The 18,963-nt window shown below is 38.7% G+C and overlaps 1 protein-coding gene across 11 annotated transcripts in view, besides 1 other annotated feature; it reads left to right on the top strand.

Moving 5' to 3' along the window:
* The window catches only part of PTPN2 (protein tyrosine phosphatase non-receptor type 2), a 98,760-nt gene that overhangs the window by 73,357 nt on the left and 6,440 nt on the right, over window positions 1-18,963 (top strand). For 6 of the 11 annotated variants that reach the window (XM_024451228.2, NM_080422.3, NM_001207013.2 and 3 more), the window contains 2 exons: window positions 8,730-8,911; window positions 16,396-16,497. In XM_024451228.2, the coding sequence (XP_024306996.1) occupies window positions 8,730-8,911; window positions 16,396-16,497 (284 nt within the window). Of the gene's footprint in view, window positions 1-8,729; window positions 8,912-16,395; window positions 18,730-18,963 lie in introns of those variants that run through there. The other 5 variants (XM_017025884.2, XM_047437696.1, NM_002828.4 and 2 more) reach the window with 4 other exon arrangements.
* Window positions 7,127-7,306: an enhancer, noted in NCBI's record as "active region_13106". NCBI's record gives its function as "activates an Ori minimal core promoter by ATAC-STARR-seq in GM12878 lymphoblastoid cells {active_cell/tissue: GM12878}" and the evidence as "EXISTENCE:reporter gene assay evidence [ECO:0000049][PMID:35858748]".

The following is an 18,963-nucleotide window of genomic DNA, read 5'->3' as shown; positions in this document are numbered from 1 at the left end:
TGTTGGCACAGTATTCTTTCGGGGACATGGTTTGCGCCCTCTTAGGGCTCAGGATTTTCAGTTCTACCCCACTACTCATGAAGTCCAGAGACCTCTTTCCCGGAGGTCTATTTCCTTTCCAGCCTCATCTCTCCTACTCAAGCTTTGCGTGTTTTCCATCCTCTAGACAAATTGTACCAAACTGTACTACTAACTGTTCTCCAAACACAACAAACTGTAGAATTTCACATTTTCTAAATCTTCTGTAAATCAACTATTATAAAACAAAAAAGCCAGCCGTGGTAGTTCTCTCCTATAGTCCCAGCTACTCAGGAATCTGAGACAGGAGGACTGCTTGAGCCCAGGAGTTTGAGGCTACAGTGAGCTGTGATCACACCATTGCATTCTGGCCTGGGCAACAGAGTAAGACCCCATCTCTAAAAAAATTAAAAACATAAAAAGAGGTACATTGATTATGCAGCTAAGTAAAATAGCCATATCTGGGAACGGTGAAGTGTGGAAAATGCTTTTTTTTTTGAAACAGAGTTTCACTGTTGTTGCCCAGGCTGGATTGCAGTGGCGTGATCTCGGCTCACTGCAACCTCCGCCTCCCAGATTCATGCAATTCTCCTGCCTCAGCCTCCCAAGTAGCTGGGATTACAGGCTTGCACCACCATGCCTGGCTAATTTTGTATTTTTAGTAGAGACAGGGTTTCTCCATGACACCGAGTCTCATCTTTCACCCAGGCTAGAGTACAGTGGCACAATCTCAGCTCACTACAACCTCGGCCTCCCGGGTTCAAGCAATTCTTCTACCTCAGCCTCCCAAGTAACTGGGATTACAGGCATGTGCCACCACACCCAGCTAATTTTTGTATTTTTGGTAGAGATGGGGTTTCACCATGTTGCCCAGGCTGGTCTCAAACTCCTGACCTCAAGTGATCTGCCCACCTCAGCCTCCCAAAGTGCTGAGATTACAGGCATGAGCCACTGTGCCAGGCGTGCCTTTTTCTTTTTAATACCTCTGGTACATGATGACAATGAGACAAATTAGAAACTAGTTTATCCATTGTATGAATGGATTTCCCAGAGATTTTTTAAAGATCTGAATACAAGCATTGCTTTTAACAGTACCATATTGCACAAGAGTAACTCCAGGGAATGAATATTCCATAAGTTCTAAAAAACTTTAAGTTGCAATGTTACATCTCTGTCCAAAATCATTAGACTCCTCGGGCAATAAGTAGAGTATTCCTTATTTATTAGATCCAAGACTCCTTGCGTCCTTGATAGGATCTTCAAAGAAGGCCATCCCTGTCCATACCAAGTCATTTGGGCCAGTGTCAGTCATAGGTAATCAAAACCATTGGCTCCCACTGCTTCTGCCTCTACCACTTGCCACTGGCAGATACATAGATGGGGATCATGTTTCATCCTTTCAAGGACTTGAGAGACTATAGTCCCAGTGCATAGGTTATATATGCGTTTTTCTTCTCTGGCATGTACAATTGTCACTGCTTTCATCTGCAGGGGCCCAGATACACTCTTCTTCCTCTACCTTTGTCCCTAGGAATGGTGACAAGTGAGAGCACAGGAAACATATTTTCTAGACATGATGCTGGGCGCTTCACATGCCATCTCATTAATCACAACTGTCTCCCAGGGTAGATGATGACATCCTCTTTCATAGAAGAAACTGAAATTTGTCTTCATCTTGGTCCGAATCCTGGTTTGTGTTGCCATCTACTCCTGAAGGCCATGCTAGAGGCATGCTGGAGGGTGTTTCTCTAGCCCAGTGGTGGGCTAGCCAGCTGCCTGGAGCTGCTAGCGTACCTGATAGACACAACCAAATTAAAGTCCTTTAGCATCACAAGGACCAGCTTGGAGATCTCACCGTTAGTTCTCCCCTAGACTGAACAGTGGCAAGGAGCAAGAAGGTTCCAGATCACATTCAAGCACCACTGTGGTGACTACTCCAGTGTTACATACCTCTGGATTAGAAGTGGATTAAGATTCAAGCAAAATCTACCTTGGCTGAAATCTTTTTAAAAATTTTTGTGTTTTTTGTGCAGTGCTACTTTATTTTTTATTTTGTTTTTTTGTCTGTTGGTTGGTTGGTTCTTTTGAGACGGAGTCTCGCTCTGTCGCCCAGGAGTGCAGTGGTGTGATCTCAGCTCACTGCAACCTCCGCCTCCTGGGGTCAAGTGATTCTCCTACCTCAGCCTCCCGAGTAGCTGGGACTATAGGCGTGTGCCACCACACCCAGCTAATTATTTTGTATTTTTAGTAGAGATGGGGTTTCACCATGTTAGCTAGGATGGTCTCGATCTCCTGACCTCTTGATCCACCTGCCTCAGCCTCCCAAAGTGTTGGGATTACAGGCGTGAGCCACCGCATGCCCCGGCCTTTGTTTTTAATTGACACTTAGTAATTGTACATATTTATGGGGTTCAGTGTGATATTTTGATACATTTATGTAATGACCAAATTAGACTAGCACGTCTATCACCTCATACATTTATCTTTTCTTTGTGGTGAAAACGTTCAAAATCCTCTCTTCCAGCTATTTTGAAATCTCTATTTAATTATATATTATTATGTGCTAATATATTTCATAGTACTTGAAATATATATAAGTATATATAAGTATTTCGAAATAGCCAGAAGAGAGGATTTTATGTGTATATAAAATGTGTATGTATATAAATTTTTTTCGAGATAGGGTCTCATTCTCTTGTTCATGCTGGTGTACAGTGGCACGATCATGGCTCGCTCACTGTAGCCTCCGCCTCCTGGGCTCAAGTGATCCTCCTGCCCTAGTCTCTTAAGTAATTGGGACTGCAGGCGCGTGCCACCACATATGGCTAATTTTTAAATTTTTGTAGAGACTGGGTCTCACCATGTTGCCCAGGCTGATCTCAAACTCCTGGGCTCAAGCGATCTGCCCGCCCTAGCCTCCCAAACTGCTAGAATTGCAGGCATGAGCCACCACACCCTGTCTGAAATATTAAATATTATTAACCATAGTCATTCTGTGCAGTAAAACACCAGAACTCATCCCCCTGTTGAACTGTTGTTCAGTTTCTCACTATGCCCCCTCTTCCCTACTCTGCGAAGCCTCCAGTAGGTACTATTCTACTCTCTGCTTCTATGAGATTAACATTTTTAGATTCCACATATGAGTGAGAACATACAGTATTTGTCTTTGTGTACTTGGCTTAATGTCCTCCAGTTTCATCCATTTTGCCACAAAAGACAGGATTTCTTTTTTTTTTAATGGCCAAATAGTATTATATTATATATATATATATATATTTTTTTTTTTTTTTTTTTCCACATTTTCTTTCTCCCTCCATTCATTGATGGACATTTAGGTTGATTCCGTATCTTGACTACTGTGAATAGTGCTGCAATAAGCACAGGAGTGCCGATATGCCTTTGAAATCCTAATTTCATTTCCTTTGGATAAATACCCAGTAGTGGGATTGCTGGATCATATGATAGTTCTATTTTTAATCTTTTAAGGAACCTTTATGCTGTTTTCCAAGATGGCTGTACTAATTTACATTCCACCAGCCGTGTACAAGAGTTCCCCTTTCTCCACATTCATGCCAGCATTTATTTTTTGTCTTTTTGATAATAGTCATTCTAATTGGGGTGTGGTGATATCTCAGTGTGGTATTGATTTGCATTATTCTGATGATTAGTGATATTGACCATTTTCTCATGTATCTGTTGGCTCTTTGTATGTCTTTTAAGAAATGGCTATTCAGGTCTTTTACCTATTTTTAATTGGATTACTTGTGTTTTCTGCTATTGAATTTTGTTTGAGTTTCTTATATATTCTGGATATTAATCCCTGTCAAATGTATAGTTTGCAGATATTTTCTTCCATTCTGTAGATTGTCTCTTCAGTCTATCGATTGCTTCCTTTGCTATACAGAAGCTTTTTAGTTTGATGTAATCCCATTTGTCTGTTTTTGCTTTTGAGGTCTTATACAAAAGACCCTTCCCTTGCCCAGACCAATGTCCTGAAGTGTTTCCCTATCTTTTCTTCTAGTATGTATATTTGTTTGGGGTCTCATATTTAAGTCTTTAGTCCATTTTGAGTTGATTTTTTAATATGGTGAGAGATAGGGGTCTAGTTTCATTCTTGGGCATCTAGATATCCAGTGTTCCCAACACCATTTATCAAAGAGACTGTCCTTCACCAGTGTATATTCTTGGCATCTTTGTCAAAAATAAATTGGCTGTAAATACGTAGATTTATTTCCATGCTCTGTCTTCTGTTTTATTGGTCTTTATACCTGTTCTTATGATAGTAGCATGCTATTTTGGTTACTATAGCTTTGTAGTATATTTTGAGGTCAGGTAGTGTGATGCCCCCAGCTTTTTGCTCAAAATTGCTTTGGCTTTTGGGGTCTTTTATGATTTCATACAAATTTTAGGATTATTTATTCTGTTTCTGTGAAGAATATCATTGGTATTTTCATTGAATTGCATTGAATCTGTAGATCACTTTATGTAGTATGGACATTTTAACAGTATTAATTTTAATCCATGAACATAGGCTATCTTTCCATTTGTGTCCTCTTCAACTTTTTCCATTAATGTTTTATAATTTTCATTATAGAGATCTTTCACCTCCTTGGTTAAATTTATTCCTAGGTAATTTTTTTGAAAATGGAATTGCTTTCTTGATTTCTTTTTTCAGATAGTTTGTTAGTGATGTATAAAATTCTACTGATTTTTATTTGTTGATTTTGTATCCTGCAACTTTACTGATTTTTTTTATTAGTTATAACAGTTTTTTGGTAGAGTCTATAGGGTTTTCTATACATAAGATTATGTCTTCTGCAAACAGAGACAATTTGACTTCCTCCTTTCCAATTTGAATACCCTTTCTCTTAGCTAATTGCTCTGGCTAGGACTTACAGTATTATGCTGAATAAAAGTGTTGAAAGTGGGCATCCTAGCCCGGTGCGGTGGCTCATGCCTGTAATCCCAGCACTTTGGGGGGCTGAGATGGGCAGATCATGAGGTCAAGAGATTGAGACCACCCTGGCCAACATGGTGAAACTCTGCCTCTACTAAAAATACAAAAATTAGCTGGGTATGCTGGCACGCGCCTGTAGTCCCAGCTACTCGGGAGGCTGAGGCAGGAGAATCGCTTGAACCTGGGAGGCAGAGGTTGCAGATCATGCCACTGCACTCCAGCCTGGTGACAGAGCAAGACTCCATCTCAAAAAAAAAAAAAAAAAAGAAAGGAGGCATCTTTGTCTTGTTCCAGATCTTAAGAGGAAAAGCTTTCAACTTTTTCATGTTCAGTATGATATTAACTATGGGTTTGTCATAACGTGGCTTTGTGTTGAGGCACAATTTCCTCCATACTTAATTTGTTGAGAGTTTTTATCATGAAGGTATGTTGAATTTTTTTTTTTTTTTGAGACAGAGTCTTGCTCTGTTGCCCAGGCTGGAGTGCAGTGGTGCAATCTCGGCTCACTGCTACCTCCGCCTTCTGGGTTCAAGCGATTCTCATGCCTCAGCCACCTGAGTGGCTGGGATTACAGGCATGCACCACCACACCCAGCTATTTTTTGTATTTATAGTAGAGATGGGGTTTCACCATGTTGGCCAGACCAGTCCCAAACGCCTGACCTCAAGTGATTCACCCACCTCAGCCTCCCAAAGTGCTGGGATTACAGGCATGAACCACCACGCCCAGCCGCTATGTTGAATTTTATCAAATGGTTTTTCTGCATCTGTTGAAATGATCATATGGTTCTTGTCCTTGATTCTGTTGATTTTTGAGAGATCATGTTTATTGATTTACATATGTTGAACCATCCTTTCATCCCTTGGATGAATCCCACTTGGTCATGGTAAATGATGTTTTTAATATACTGTTGAATTCAATTTGCTATTATTTCATTCAGGATTTTTGCATCCATATTCATCAAGGATATTGGCCTGTAGTTTTCTTTTTTGTTGTGTCCTTGTCTGGTTTTGGTATCAGGGTAATGCTGGCCTTACAGAATGATTTTGGAAGATTTCCCTCTTCAGTTTTTTGAATAGTGTGAAAGGAATTAGTATTATTTAAATGTTTGTTAGAATTCAGCCATGAAGCCATCAAGTCCGGGCTTTTCTTTGATGGGAGACTTTTTATTACTGATTTAATCTCACTCTTTATTGGTCAGTTCAGGTTTTCTATGTCTTCATGGTTCCGTTTTGATAGTTCGTGTGTGTCTAAGAATTTAGCCATTTCCTCTAGGCTTTTCAATTTGTTGGCATACAGTTGTTTATAATAGTCTCTTACAATACTTTGTTTATGGTATTAGTTGTAATATCTCCTTTTTCATCTCTGATTTGAGTCTTTTTTTTTTCTTAGTCTGCTATAGGTTTGTTGATTTTGTTTGCCTTTTCAAAAAAATGATCCTTGGTTTTGTTGATCTTTCGTTTCTTTTTTTTGGTCACTTTATTTCCATTCTTCTGGTCTTTATTATTTTCTTTGTTCTGCTAATTTTGGGTTTAGTTTATTATTTTCTAGTTCCTTGAGGTACATCAGGTTGTTTATTTGAGAACTTTCTTTTTCTTTTTTTTTTTTTTTTTTTTGAGACAGTTTCACTCTGACCCCTAGACTGGAGTGCAGTGGCATGATTTTGGCTCAGTGCAACCTCCGCCTCCCGGGTTCAAGTGATTCTTATGCCTCAGCTTCCCAAATACTTGGAATTACAGGTGCCCACCACCACTCCTGGCTAATTTATGGTAGAGATGGCATTTCACCATGTTGGCCAGGCTGGTCTCAAACTCCTCACCTCAGGTGATCCTCCAGCCTCTACCTCCCAAAGTTCTTGGGTGTGAGCCACCCACCTGGCCTGATTGTGATTTTTTTCTTTTTTTAATTTGTTGAGACTTGTTTTTGTGGCCTAACATATGGTCCATCATGGAGAATGTTCCATGTGCTGATGAGAAAAATGTGTATTCTGTGGCTGTTGGAGGGAATGTTCTGTAAATGTGTGTTAGGTCCATTTGGCCTAGAGTGCAGTTTAAATCCAATGTTTTTTTGTTGATTTTATGTCTGGATGATCTGTCCATTGCTGAAAGTGGGATGTAGCGTTCTCCTGCTATTATTGTATTGCAGTCTATGTCTCCCTTTAGATGTAATAATACTTGCTTTATATATTTGTGTGCACCAGTGTTGTGTGCATAGATATTTAAAATCATTACATCCTCCTGCTGAACTGACCCCTTTGACCTTTGTTTCTTTTTACAATTTTTGACCTAAAGTCTATTTTATCAAAATATAGCTACTCCTCTTCTCTTTTTGGTTTTAATTTGCATGGAGTATCATTTCTCATCCCTTCACTTTCAGTCTTAGTGTGTCCTTACAGGTGAAGTGAGTGTCTTGTAGGCAACATAGAGTTGGATTTTGTTTTTTGTTTTTTCATCCATTCAGCCACTGTATCTTTTCATTGAAGTATTTAATCTATTTACATTCAAGGGTATTATTGATAGATAAGGACTTACACCTGCCATTTTGTTAATTGTTTTCTGTTTGCTTTTCATATTCTTTATTCCTTTCTTTCTCTCTTATTGTTTACCTTTGTGGTTTGGTGATTTTCTATAGTGATAAGCTTTGATTTATTTCTCTTTCTCATTTGTGTGTCTGCTGTAGTTACTTTTTTTCTTTGTGGTTACTCTGGGGCTTACATTAAACATCTTAGAGTGTTTTAAGCTGATAATAACTTAACCTTGGTCTCATAAAATATTTTTGGCTTTTACCCTCCCCCCACAACTTATAATTTTGTTGCTTAATTTACATCTTTTTATATTGTGTGGTCCTTAACAACTTGTAGCTGTAGTTACCATTAACCATTTTTTACTTTTAACCTTCATAATGGAGATTTGAAAGATTATATTCCACAGTTACAGCAATGGAGTTTTCTGAATTTGGTAATTAATTTACCTCTGTCAGTGAGATTATATTTTCATATATTTTCATGATAGTAATTATACTTTTGCTTCCAGTCAAAGCAGCTCCCTTAAGCATTTCTTGTAAGGCTAGTCTAGTGGTAATAAATTCTTGCAGCTTTTGCTTGTCTGGGAAAGACTCCATTTTTCTTTCATTTCTGAAAGATAGCTTTGCTAGTAGTTGTTATCTTTCAGCACTTTGAATATATTATCCCATTCTCTACAGTCTGTTCTTTCTTGGCGTGTACAGGTTTTCTGAGAAATCTGTTAATAGCAACCTGCCAGGTTCCCTTACATGTGACTTGATCCTTTTCTCTTGCTGCTTTTAGAATTCTCTATGTCTGACTTTTGATGGCTTTATTATAATGTACCTTGGAGAGAGGACCTCTTTGCATTGAATGTGTTCAGTGTGCTGTCGAGTTTCATGGATCTGGCTACCAATATTAAAATTATATTACTGTGACTAATAGTTGAGTGTGGTCCCAGTATAGTTTGTCTCAAATAGGTAAAAGTCCACAAGATTTTATTAAGATTATTATATTCAACTATATACTCATGTACATAAATACTAAATGCTTTATTATAAAATTTTGAAATTAAAATAAGCATAGTTGTTACAAGCTACAGTATGGCAAAATGCCTTTTTCTTTTTCACTCATCTTTTAGCATCATTGGGTTTTCTTAACTTGAATATAGGATTTTAATTCATAAATTTTTTTATTTAAGGAAAATAAATTTTTAATGTTTGCATTTGTTTTTCATTTCTCTTCCCTACCTAGAAACGATGGAAAGAACTTTCTAAGGAAGACTTATCTCCTGCCTTTGATCATTCACCAAACAAAATAATGACTGAAAAATACAATGGGAACAGAATAGGTCTAGAAGAAGAAAAACTGACAGGTGACCGATGTACAGGACTTTCCTCTAAAATGCAAGATACAATGGAGGAGAACAGTGAGAGGTAAGCTTTCTATAACTACAGGCTGAAAGATGAGGCTTTTTTATTTTAAAAATAAATTTTATGGGACCAGGTGCCATAGGATTTCAGGTATGTAATTTTTATATTAGGAAAATACAATCACGCCTGTAATCTCAACACTTTGGGAGGCCAAGGAGGGAAGATCACTTGAGTCTAGGAGTTTGAAACCAGCCTGGGCAACATAGTGAGACCTTATCTCTACAGAAAATAAACAAAATTAGCCAGGTGTGGTGATGCGAGCCTGTGGTCCCAGCCACTCGGGAGACTGAAGTGGGAGGATCACTTGAGCTGGGGAGGTCGAGGTTGCAGTGAGCTGACATACCACCACTGCACTCCCACCTGGGTGACAAAGCAAGACCCTGTCTCATAAATAATAATAATAAATAAATAATTATGTGGATATGATATATGAAATAATATAGGCCCTTTTTTTTATTGAATTAATATAACCTTTTTTTTTCTCTGTCACCCAGGCTAGAGTGCGGTGGCACAACCTTAGCTGCTCCACCTCCTGGGTTCAAGCAATTCTCCTGCCTCAGCCCTCCCATGTAGCTGGGATTACAGGCGCCCACCACCATGTCCAGCTAATTTTTGTATTTTTAGTAGAGAGAGGGTTTCACCATGTTAACAAGGCTGGTCTTGAACTCCTGACCTCAGGTCATCCACCCGCCTCAGCCTCCCAAAGTGCTGGGATTACAGGCGTGAGCCACCGTGCCCAGCCAAATTAATATAACCTTTATTTCTTACCTGAGGGTATTTAGTATATGATGACAAAGGTGTTCTTAAGGAGCTTTCAGCCAATACTTAGAAACCAGTTCAAAAATCCTTTAAAACAATAATGATTGAGTGTAAAAGTTAATATAATTGGGTGCTAAAATATATGGTATGGTACAGAAAATAAGTAGTATGAATACCTGCCATTTGTACTATAATTATAATGTAACTGATAATATGCCTTTAATAAAACATTTAAACATGTAAGCTTAATTGCATTACTGGAGAAAGAAAAAGGCGTTTTTTAAAAATCCATATGAATGTGGCATCTATTCAGAATTTTAAATTACAATTACATTTCTAAGACTGTCTCTCACAGATTAGGAAGCTGATAACCTGGTATAAGTCACATAGCAAAGTGAATGAGGTTTTTCTTTCCTCTCTCCTGCATCTCTGAATAACTTTTCTTCTTCTCTTTTTGCCAAATATACTTCTTATCATGGGGAATTTTATCTTGTGGTTATATTTGTTAGATTGGAATGAAAATAGTCGAAGTCTGCCATACATTATAGCTTTACTGCTGTATTTTCCTAATATAAAAATTAAATACCTGAAATTTTATAAATGCTAACATATTCCAATATATAATACATGTATTATTATATATTATAGTGGAAGAGTTTATTATGATTTAGTAATGTTATTCCCAATTTTTGACTTCAGTAGTTTTAGACTGCAAGAGAAAGCATAATTTTTTTGGTTCCTTTTTTCATCTTAAATAGAATATCTTTAAATCAGGAAATAATAGTTTTAAGTTACCTTAGCTTTTTCAATAATAAGGCTTTCAGATTCCTAGTGTTACTGCTTTTTCCCCCCTTTTATCTAGTACTATCTGCAGAATTAAATGAAAAACAGGCTTGATGACTGAAATGGCATTCTTAGTATTTCAGAAGTGTTGAGTTTTAATCTACAAAGATTCAGAACAACCATGTTAATCCTAGTGAGTTAAATCACTCATACAAGCTTGCAAATACAGAGGAGACTACTAAAACCACTCTAGAGTCTATAACTCTAAGGAGTTATAGAGTGATTGCAGAAGACTGTTTTATGGGGTCTGTGTGTGTGTTTATGTGCCTGTACATGTTTTCGCATGTGGTGGCGGTGTTTTCTTCTTTCCCTTTTTTCCTTCCCTGTCTGATAAATGAGACTGGTGCATGTTTGAAAGCAGAGAGTCCCAACAGAAAAGTCAGAATTCTAAGCGGAGAAGTCTGATTACAAAAACAAGGTTACAGAAATGAAAAAGAGGAGGCCGGGCGTGGTGGCTCACGCTTGTAATCTCAGTGCTGTGGGAGGTCAAGGCAGGTGGATCACTTGAGGTCAGGAGTTTGAGACCAGCCTGGCCAACATGGTGAAACCCCGTCTCTGCTGAAAATACAAAAATTAACCAGGCACTGAGAGTGAGAAACAACTTGGACATACGAATTTTAAAATACAAAAATTAAAGAGGCATTAACGCCTGTTGTCCCAGCTTCTTGGGAGGCTGAGGTGGGAGAATTGCTTGAACCCAGGAGGTTGCAGTGAGCCGAGATCATAACACTGCACTCCAGACTGGGCAACAGAGCAAGACTCTTATCTCAAAAAAAAAAAAATGTAAAAGAAGAGCATAGGATCAGGGTGTGAAGTAAAGGTTACTCTGAACAGTTTTATTTTTTAATCAGTCCCAGTAATTTTTAATACCTATAGATAGCTTTGCATTAAAGATCCTCATAAAAGTCTTATCAAAAGAATTTCAAGTTTCTTTTTTTTCTTTTTTTTTTTCCTGAGACGGAGTCTTGCTCTGTCACCCAGGCTGAAGTGCAGTGGCGCAGTCTTGGCTCACTGCAACCTCCACCTCCCGGGTTCAAGCAATTCTCCTGCCTTAGCCTCCCAAGTAGCTGGGATTACAGGCCCCCGCCACTACACCCAGCTAATTTTTGTATTTTTAGTAGAGGCAGGGTTTCACCATGTTGGCCAGGCTGGTCTCGAACTCCTGACCTTGTGATCCTCCCGCCTCAGCCTCCCAAAGTGCTGGGATTACAGACATGAGCCACCACACCTGGCCAGAATTTCAACTTTCAAAAGAAATAGAACACAGTACTTTCTTGTATTCATTTTCATTGTATTCATTTGGAGGATATTCATCCTCCAAAGCAGTGTTTTTCAAATTGAAGGTCAAATCACATAGTCGTGAAGTTTATTGGATTATAAACATTTTTTAAAGAAGAAAATAGAATAAAATAGAAATTATCAGCATATCACAAATAATAACATGAATTTAACAGATGCTGGCGAGGTTGTGGAGAAAAAGGAATGCTTAAACACTGTTGGTGGGAGTATAAATTAGTTCAACTATTGTGGAAGACAGTGTGGTGATTCCTCAAAGACCTAAAAACAGAAATACCATTCAACCCAGCAATCCCATTACTGGGTATACACCCAAAAGAATATAAATCATTGTACTGTAAAGATGTAAACACACGCGTATGTTGATTGCAGCACTATTCACCATAGAAAAGACATGGAATCAATCTAAATGCCTATCAATGATAGACTGCATAAAGAAAATGTACATATACAGCATGGAATACTATGCATCCATAATAAAGAATGAGATCATGTCCTTTGTAGGGGCTTGGATGGAGCTGGAGGCCATTATCCTTAGCAAAACTAATGGAGGAACAGAAAACCAAATACCCCATGTTCTTACTAACAATTGAGAGCTAAATGATGAGAACACATGGACACATAGAGGGGAACAACACTGGGGGCCTGTCGGAGGATGGAGGGTGGGAGGAGGGGGACAATCAGGAAAAATAACTAATGGGTACTAGGCTTAATACCTGGGTGATGAAATAATCTGTACAACAAAACTTGTTGTACATGTCACGGAGATGACACAAGTTTCAAGCTTATGTAACAAGCCTGCACATGGACGTACCCCTGAACTTGAATTTTAACCTGTTTTTATATATGTATGTGTGATGTATAAATTCCATATATTTACATATACATTGTGTACCTATGTAAGTGTGTGTGTGAGGTTACTCTGTTGTGATGCTATTTCTTACTGTAGGTTGCAGTCTGAATTTGAAAGGCAGTATTCTCAATTACAGTTCAACCCAGAAACCCAGATCACTGAGAGTGAGAAACAACTTGGACATACGAAAAGTCTGGAGCAGGCAGAGTGGCTCATGCCTGTAATCCCAACACTCGGGGAGGCTGAGGCGGGTGGATCACTTGAGCCTAGCAGTTCAAGACCAGCCTGCGCAACATGGCAAACCCTGTCTCTACAAAAAATACAAAAATCCGCCAAATGTGGTGGGACCTGCCTGTAGTCTTAAGGGAGGCTGAGGTGGGAGGATTGCTTGAGCCCAAGAGGTTGAGGCTACAGGGAGCTATGATCACGCCACATGATCTTCCCTGGGCAAGGGTCCACAGGAGGCATTCCCATTGGTTAATATCCTAAATTGCATAAATATACGGGAAAACCTGGGCAGGTCCCATTTGGCAAGTCATTACACAGACATAATTTCTTTAGGCCCCACTAAGGAAGAAAAGATTTTATCACAAATCGAGAGTAGTCTTGTCATTCTCTGGAATTGTGTTCTTAAATTAGATACAGGCATGCCTTGGTATTTGTCTCTAGTCCATTCCTGAATTATATAGTGCACTTTTGGAAAGCAAAAACCTCTGTTCCATTCTTTTAAATGAGAAAAATAGTGTGTTGTCAGCCCAACCAGAAAGCATAACCAGTTCCCCCAAATATAGTACAAAACCTTTTAAACTCCTATGTAGCATTTAAAGCACTAATTATGTAATCATATAACACTTAAGGGACTCATTATTGGGCTTGTATGGTAAATGACAAAATACTAGATACAAATTATAATTGCCTTCTATACCGCAATGAAAATAAAAAATGAAATAATACGTTAAAGATTATATCTAAATTGGAACCTTGTTAACGATACCCCCAGGCTCCTGGCAAAAGCTAATAAAGGGCCCATGGGAGGCTAACCCCCTCTCTGTTTTTATACATATTTTGCCTACACTTGAACACAAATGTTTTCACTAACAGGTACATGCATATTTGTGATAGTGAATTTTCAATTCAGAGAGTGAATTCTGAGTAAGAATTTTTGCAAGTCATTATAGCAGATATTCAGATGGAGTTCAGACAGCCAGGGATACCTGTATATATGATAACAAAAAGTGAAAAAGACATGAGAAAGCACCATAAGATGAACAAAGATAGCAAAACCCAGTCTGTCCTCAAGTTGCAGAATATGTGATGAAGATAAAACAAGTACCCAAGTTAGCACATTATTAGTAAATTATAAATTACTTCAAATTAAATGCCGTAAGAATAGAAGGGCTAGAGGGGGTGGAGCAAGATAATTGAAGAGTAGAACTGAAATGAGAGGACAGGAGAGAAGGGAAGGTTTCTATTTTAGTGGGGAACAAATTTGGAGAACAGCAAAAAAACGGCAAGAACAAAGTTCTGCATAGCAGGAGAATATTGGCAAGCGTTTGCATGGACATGTGTTCTCAGTTCTCTTGGGTACATATCTAGGAGTGGAATTGCTAGGTCATATGGTAACTCTATGTTTAACTTTTTGAGGAGCTGTCAAACTGTTTTCTGTGGCAGCTGAACCATTTTACATTCCCACTAACAATCTCTTGGGGAGAGAAGGTTCCAGTACACCAAAGAAGTGTAACATTGATTAAAATATTCTAATACATAGTTCAATTCAGATTTCTCTTGTCTGAAAGATTCACCATATAGCTTTTTTAATAAAGTTTTATGGAAATATAATTTATATAGCATAAAGTTTACTCATTTAAAGTATACAATTCAGTGACTTTTAATATATTTACCAAATTGTGTAGCTGGCACCACGATCTAATTTTAGAACATTTTCCTGATCCCAACTTCTGTAGCTGTTTAAAAAATATTTCAAGATTAATCAAAGATTGATACTATATTTAGTTGATGTGATTCTTTGGTCTCCTTTAATCTGGAACTGTTCCCTGCCTTTTTCTTCCTTGCTTGACATTTGTATTTTTGAAGCTTCTAGGCCAGATATCTTTTAGAATGCCCCATACAATGCATTTCTTTAATCATTATTTATCATAGTTAAATTCAGGTTAAACGTCTTGGCCAGGAAAAAGGTAGTCTCAATGTAGGAGACATTGAAGAGGCATTTGAGATTTTTAAGCACCATCGTGCACTAGGCCCGGTAACGAAAAAAAAAAAAAAAGATTTTAAATCAAGCTACGTGTCCAGGGGTATGCTCTAGAAAAATTACCATGGCAATAATATTTAATTTGAGGGCAGGGAAGCTGGTTAGGCCTTTGCTGTAATACAGAAAAGTGAAAAGAGGGAATGGAAGAAATAGTAACCTATATGTTGCCATTGGCCGTTTTTTTGTTTTTGTGGGTGTGCTTTTATAGAGAGGCAAGACTTGCTATATTGCACAAGCTGGACTTGAATTCCTGGGCTTAAGCCGTCCTCCTGAGTAGCTGGATGGCATTATTATTTATATAGAACCAGAACTAAGTATCTTGAGAGTCAGAGACCTTCCACTGAAACAAAATTTCTGAGACCGGACACAGTGGCTCATGCCTGTAATCCCAGCACTTTGGGAGGCTGAGGTGGGCGGATCACTTGAGATCAGGAGTTCAAGACCAGCCTGGCTAACATGGTGAAACATCATCTCACTAAAAATACAAAAAAATTAGCCAGGCGTGGTGGTGCACGTCTGTAATCCCAGCTACTTGGGAGGCTGAGGCAGAAGAATTGCTTGAACCCGGAAGGCGGGGGTTGCAGTGAGCCAAGATCGTGCCACTGCACTCCCGCCTGGGCAACAGAACAAGACTCCATCCACCCCGCCTCCCCCACCACCCCAAAAAAATTTCTGTATTGACTATGAAAATGGGAGGTAGAAATGTGTATGGTCAAATAAAAGAATAAGTGCTCCCACAACAGAATATTCATGGAAATATTAAATAGCTAGCTTTTATAAGAGCCTTAACCATCAAACGTGACCAGGAAATGGGATCAGATGCAAGTGGTACCCCCTTGTCTTCCCACTCCTGCTCCTGCTGACTAGTTAACAAGGAAGGAAAGAAAACTAACAGTCATCAATTCACGTGTCAAGAAAGTACCTTGCTTATTTTCAGGTCCCACTAAAAGCAGTTATCAATATAAAACTGTACCAGGAATGGTTGTCAAGGTACATCTCTGAATCATTAAAGAATATTGAGGCTTTTCTTGGCCGGGCGCCGTGGCTCACACCTGTAATCTCAGGACTTTGGGAGGCCAAGGCGGGTGAATTGCTTGAGGTCAGGAGTTCAAGACCAGCCTGGCCAACATGGCAAAACCCTGTCTCTACTAAAAATACAAAAAATTAGCTGGGCATAGTGGTGCACGCCTGCAGTCTCAGTTACTTGGGAGGCTGAGGCACGAGAATCACTTGAGCGTGGGAGGCAGAGGTTGCAGTGAACCAAGATTGTACCACTGCACTCCAGGCTGGGTGACAGAGCAAGACGCTGTCTCAAAAGAATATTGAGGCTTTTCCCCTCATTATTCCAGTGTTCAAATAGGGTGAAAACTATGTGGATGGTTTTATTTGCGCCTAGGTCCTCTGTGTTAGAGTACTCAAGTCCTGCTCTGTGTGCACTTCCTTTCACTTGTTTTTATTTCCTCATAGTGCTCTACGGAAACGTATTCGAGAGGACAGAAAGGCCACCACAGCTCAGAAGGTGCAGCAGATGAAACAGAGGCTAAATGAGAATGAACGAAAAAGAAAAAGGTGGTTATATTGGCAACCTATTCTCACTAAGATGGGGTTTATGTCAGTCATTTTGGTTGGCGCTTTTGTTGGCTGGACACTGTTTTTTCAGCAAAATGCCCTATAAACAATTAATTTTGCCCAGCAAGCTTCTGCACTAGTAACTGACAGTGCTACATTAATCATAGGGGTTTGTCTGCAGCAAACGCCTCATATCCCAAAAACGGTGCAGTAGAATAGACATCAACCAGATAAGTGATATTTACAGTCACAAGCCCAACATCTCAGGACTCTTGACTGCAGGTTCCTCTGAACCCCAAACTGTAAATGGCTGTCTAAAATAAAGACATTCATGTTTGTTAAAAACTGGTAAATTTTGCAACTGTATTCATACATGTCAAACACAGTATTTCACCTGACCAACATTGAGATATCCTTTATCACAGGATTTGTTTTTGGAGGCTATCTGGATTTTAACCTGCACTTGATATAAGCAATAAATATTGTGGTTTTATCTACGTTATTGGAAAGAAAATGACATTTAAATAATGTGTGTAATGTATAATGTACTATTGACATGGGCATCAACACTTTTATTCTTAAGCATTTCAGGGTAAATATATTTTATAAGTATCTATTTAATCTTTTGTAGTTAACTGTACTTTTTAAGAGCTCAATTTGAAAAATCTGTTACTAAAAAAATAAATTGTATGTCGATTGAATTGTACTGGATACATTTTCCATTTTTCTAAAGAGAAGTTTGATATGAGCAGTTAGAAGTTGGAATAAGCAATTTCTACTATATATTGCATTTCTTTTATGTTTTACAGTTTTCCCCATTTTAAAAAGAAAAGCAAACAAAGAAACAAAAGTTTTTCCTAAAAATATCTTTGAAGGAAAATTCTCCTTACTGGGATAGTCAGGTAAACAGTTGGTCAAGACTTTGTAAAGAAATTGGTTTCTGTAAATCCCATTATTGATATGTTTATTTTTCATGAAAATTTCAATGTAGTTGGGGTAGATTATGATTTAGGAAGCAAAAGTAAGAAGCAGCATTTTATGATTCATAATTTCAGTTTACTAGACTGAAGTTTTGAAGTAAACACTTTTCAGTTTCTTTCTACTTCAATAAATAGTATGATTATATGCAAACCTTACATTGTCATTTTAACTTAATGAATATTTTTTAAAGCAAACTGTTTAATGAATTTAACTGCTCATTTGAATGCTAGCTTTCCTCAGATTTCAACATTCCATTCAGTGTTTAATTTGTCTTACTTAAACTTGAAATTGTTGTTACAAATTTAATTGCTAGGAGGCATGGATAGCATACATTATTATGGATAGCATACCTTATTTCAGTGGTTTTCAAACTATGCTCATTGGATGTCCAGGTGGGTCAAGAGGTTACTTTCAACCACAGCATCTCTGCCTTGTCTCTTTATATGCCACATAAGATTTCTGCATAAGGCTTAAGTATTTTAAAGGGGGCAGTTATCATTTAAAAACAGTTTGGTCGGGCGCGGTGGCTCATGCCTGTAATCCCAGCACTTTGGGAGGCTGAAGTGGGCAGATCACCTGAGGTCAGGAGTTCAAGACCAGCCTGGCCAACGTGGTGAAACACCATCTCTACTAAAAATGCAAAAATTAGCTGGGCATGGTGGAGGGCACCTGTAATCTCAGCTACTCAGGAGGCTGAGGTAGGAGAATTGCTTGAACCCAGGAGATGGAGGTTGCAGTGAGCTGAGATCACGTCACTGCACTCCAGCCAGGGCGACAGAGCGAGACTCCATCTCAAAAGAAACAAACAAAAAAAACAGTTTGGGCCGGGTGTGGTGGCTCACGCTTGTAATCCCAGCACTTCGGAAGGCCAAGGCGGGCGGATCACGAGGTCAAGAGATGGAGACTGTCCTGGCCAACATGGTGAAATCCCTTCTTTACTAAAAATACAAAAATTATCTGGGCGTGGTGGTGCATGCCTGTAGTCCCAGCTCCTTGGGAGGCTAAGGCAGGAGAATCACTTGAACCCGGGAGGCAGAGGTTGCAGTGAGCCGAGATTGCACCACTGCACTCCAGCCTGGCAACAGAGCAAGACTTCGTCTCAAAAAAAAAAAAAAAAAAAGTTTGAAAACCATTGGTATAGATAGATATTTTGAATTGATTTGCATAGTCTCCTTGAATGTGTTAAATTATGTTGAAAGTATGAAAGCAGGATGTAGGTGGTACTACATATTAAATAAGATTTATATAACATGTGCCTGTGTCCTGATTCAGTATTACTGTGTCCTGTAACCTTGAAATGGAGAGGAGGTAAGAGGGACATTTTTTTATGTCTGTCTGCATTAAACCTGTGTTGAGGCATCCAAGACCCTTACATTTCAGGTTGTTATTGGTTTAAAACCTCTTTCCAGTTTGCATTGGTTTGTCTTTGCTAAATGCAGTATGTTTATGTTACTCTGCAAGTCACATACAGGTAGACCTTATGAC

Source organism: Homo sapiens, chromosome 18 (assembly GCF_000001405.40).
Source record: "Homo sapiens chromosome 18, GRCh38.p14 Primary Assembly".
In the NCBI taxonomy this organism is placed as follows: Eukaryota; Metazoa; Chordata; class Mammalia; order Primates; family Hominidae; genus Homo; species Homo sapiens.
The sequence above is the reverse complement of the archived record's forward strand: the minus strand, read 5'-3'. Positions and strand labels throughout refer to the sequence as shown.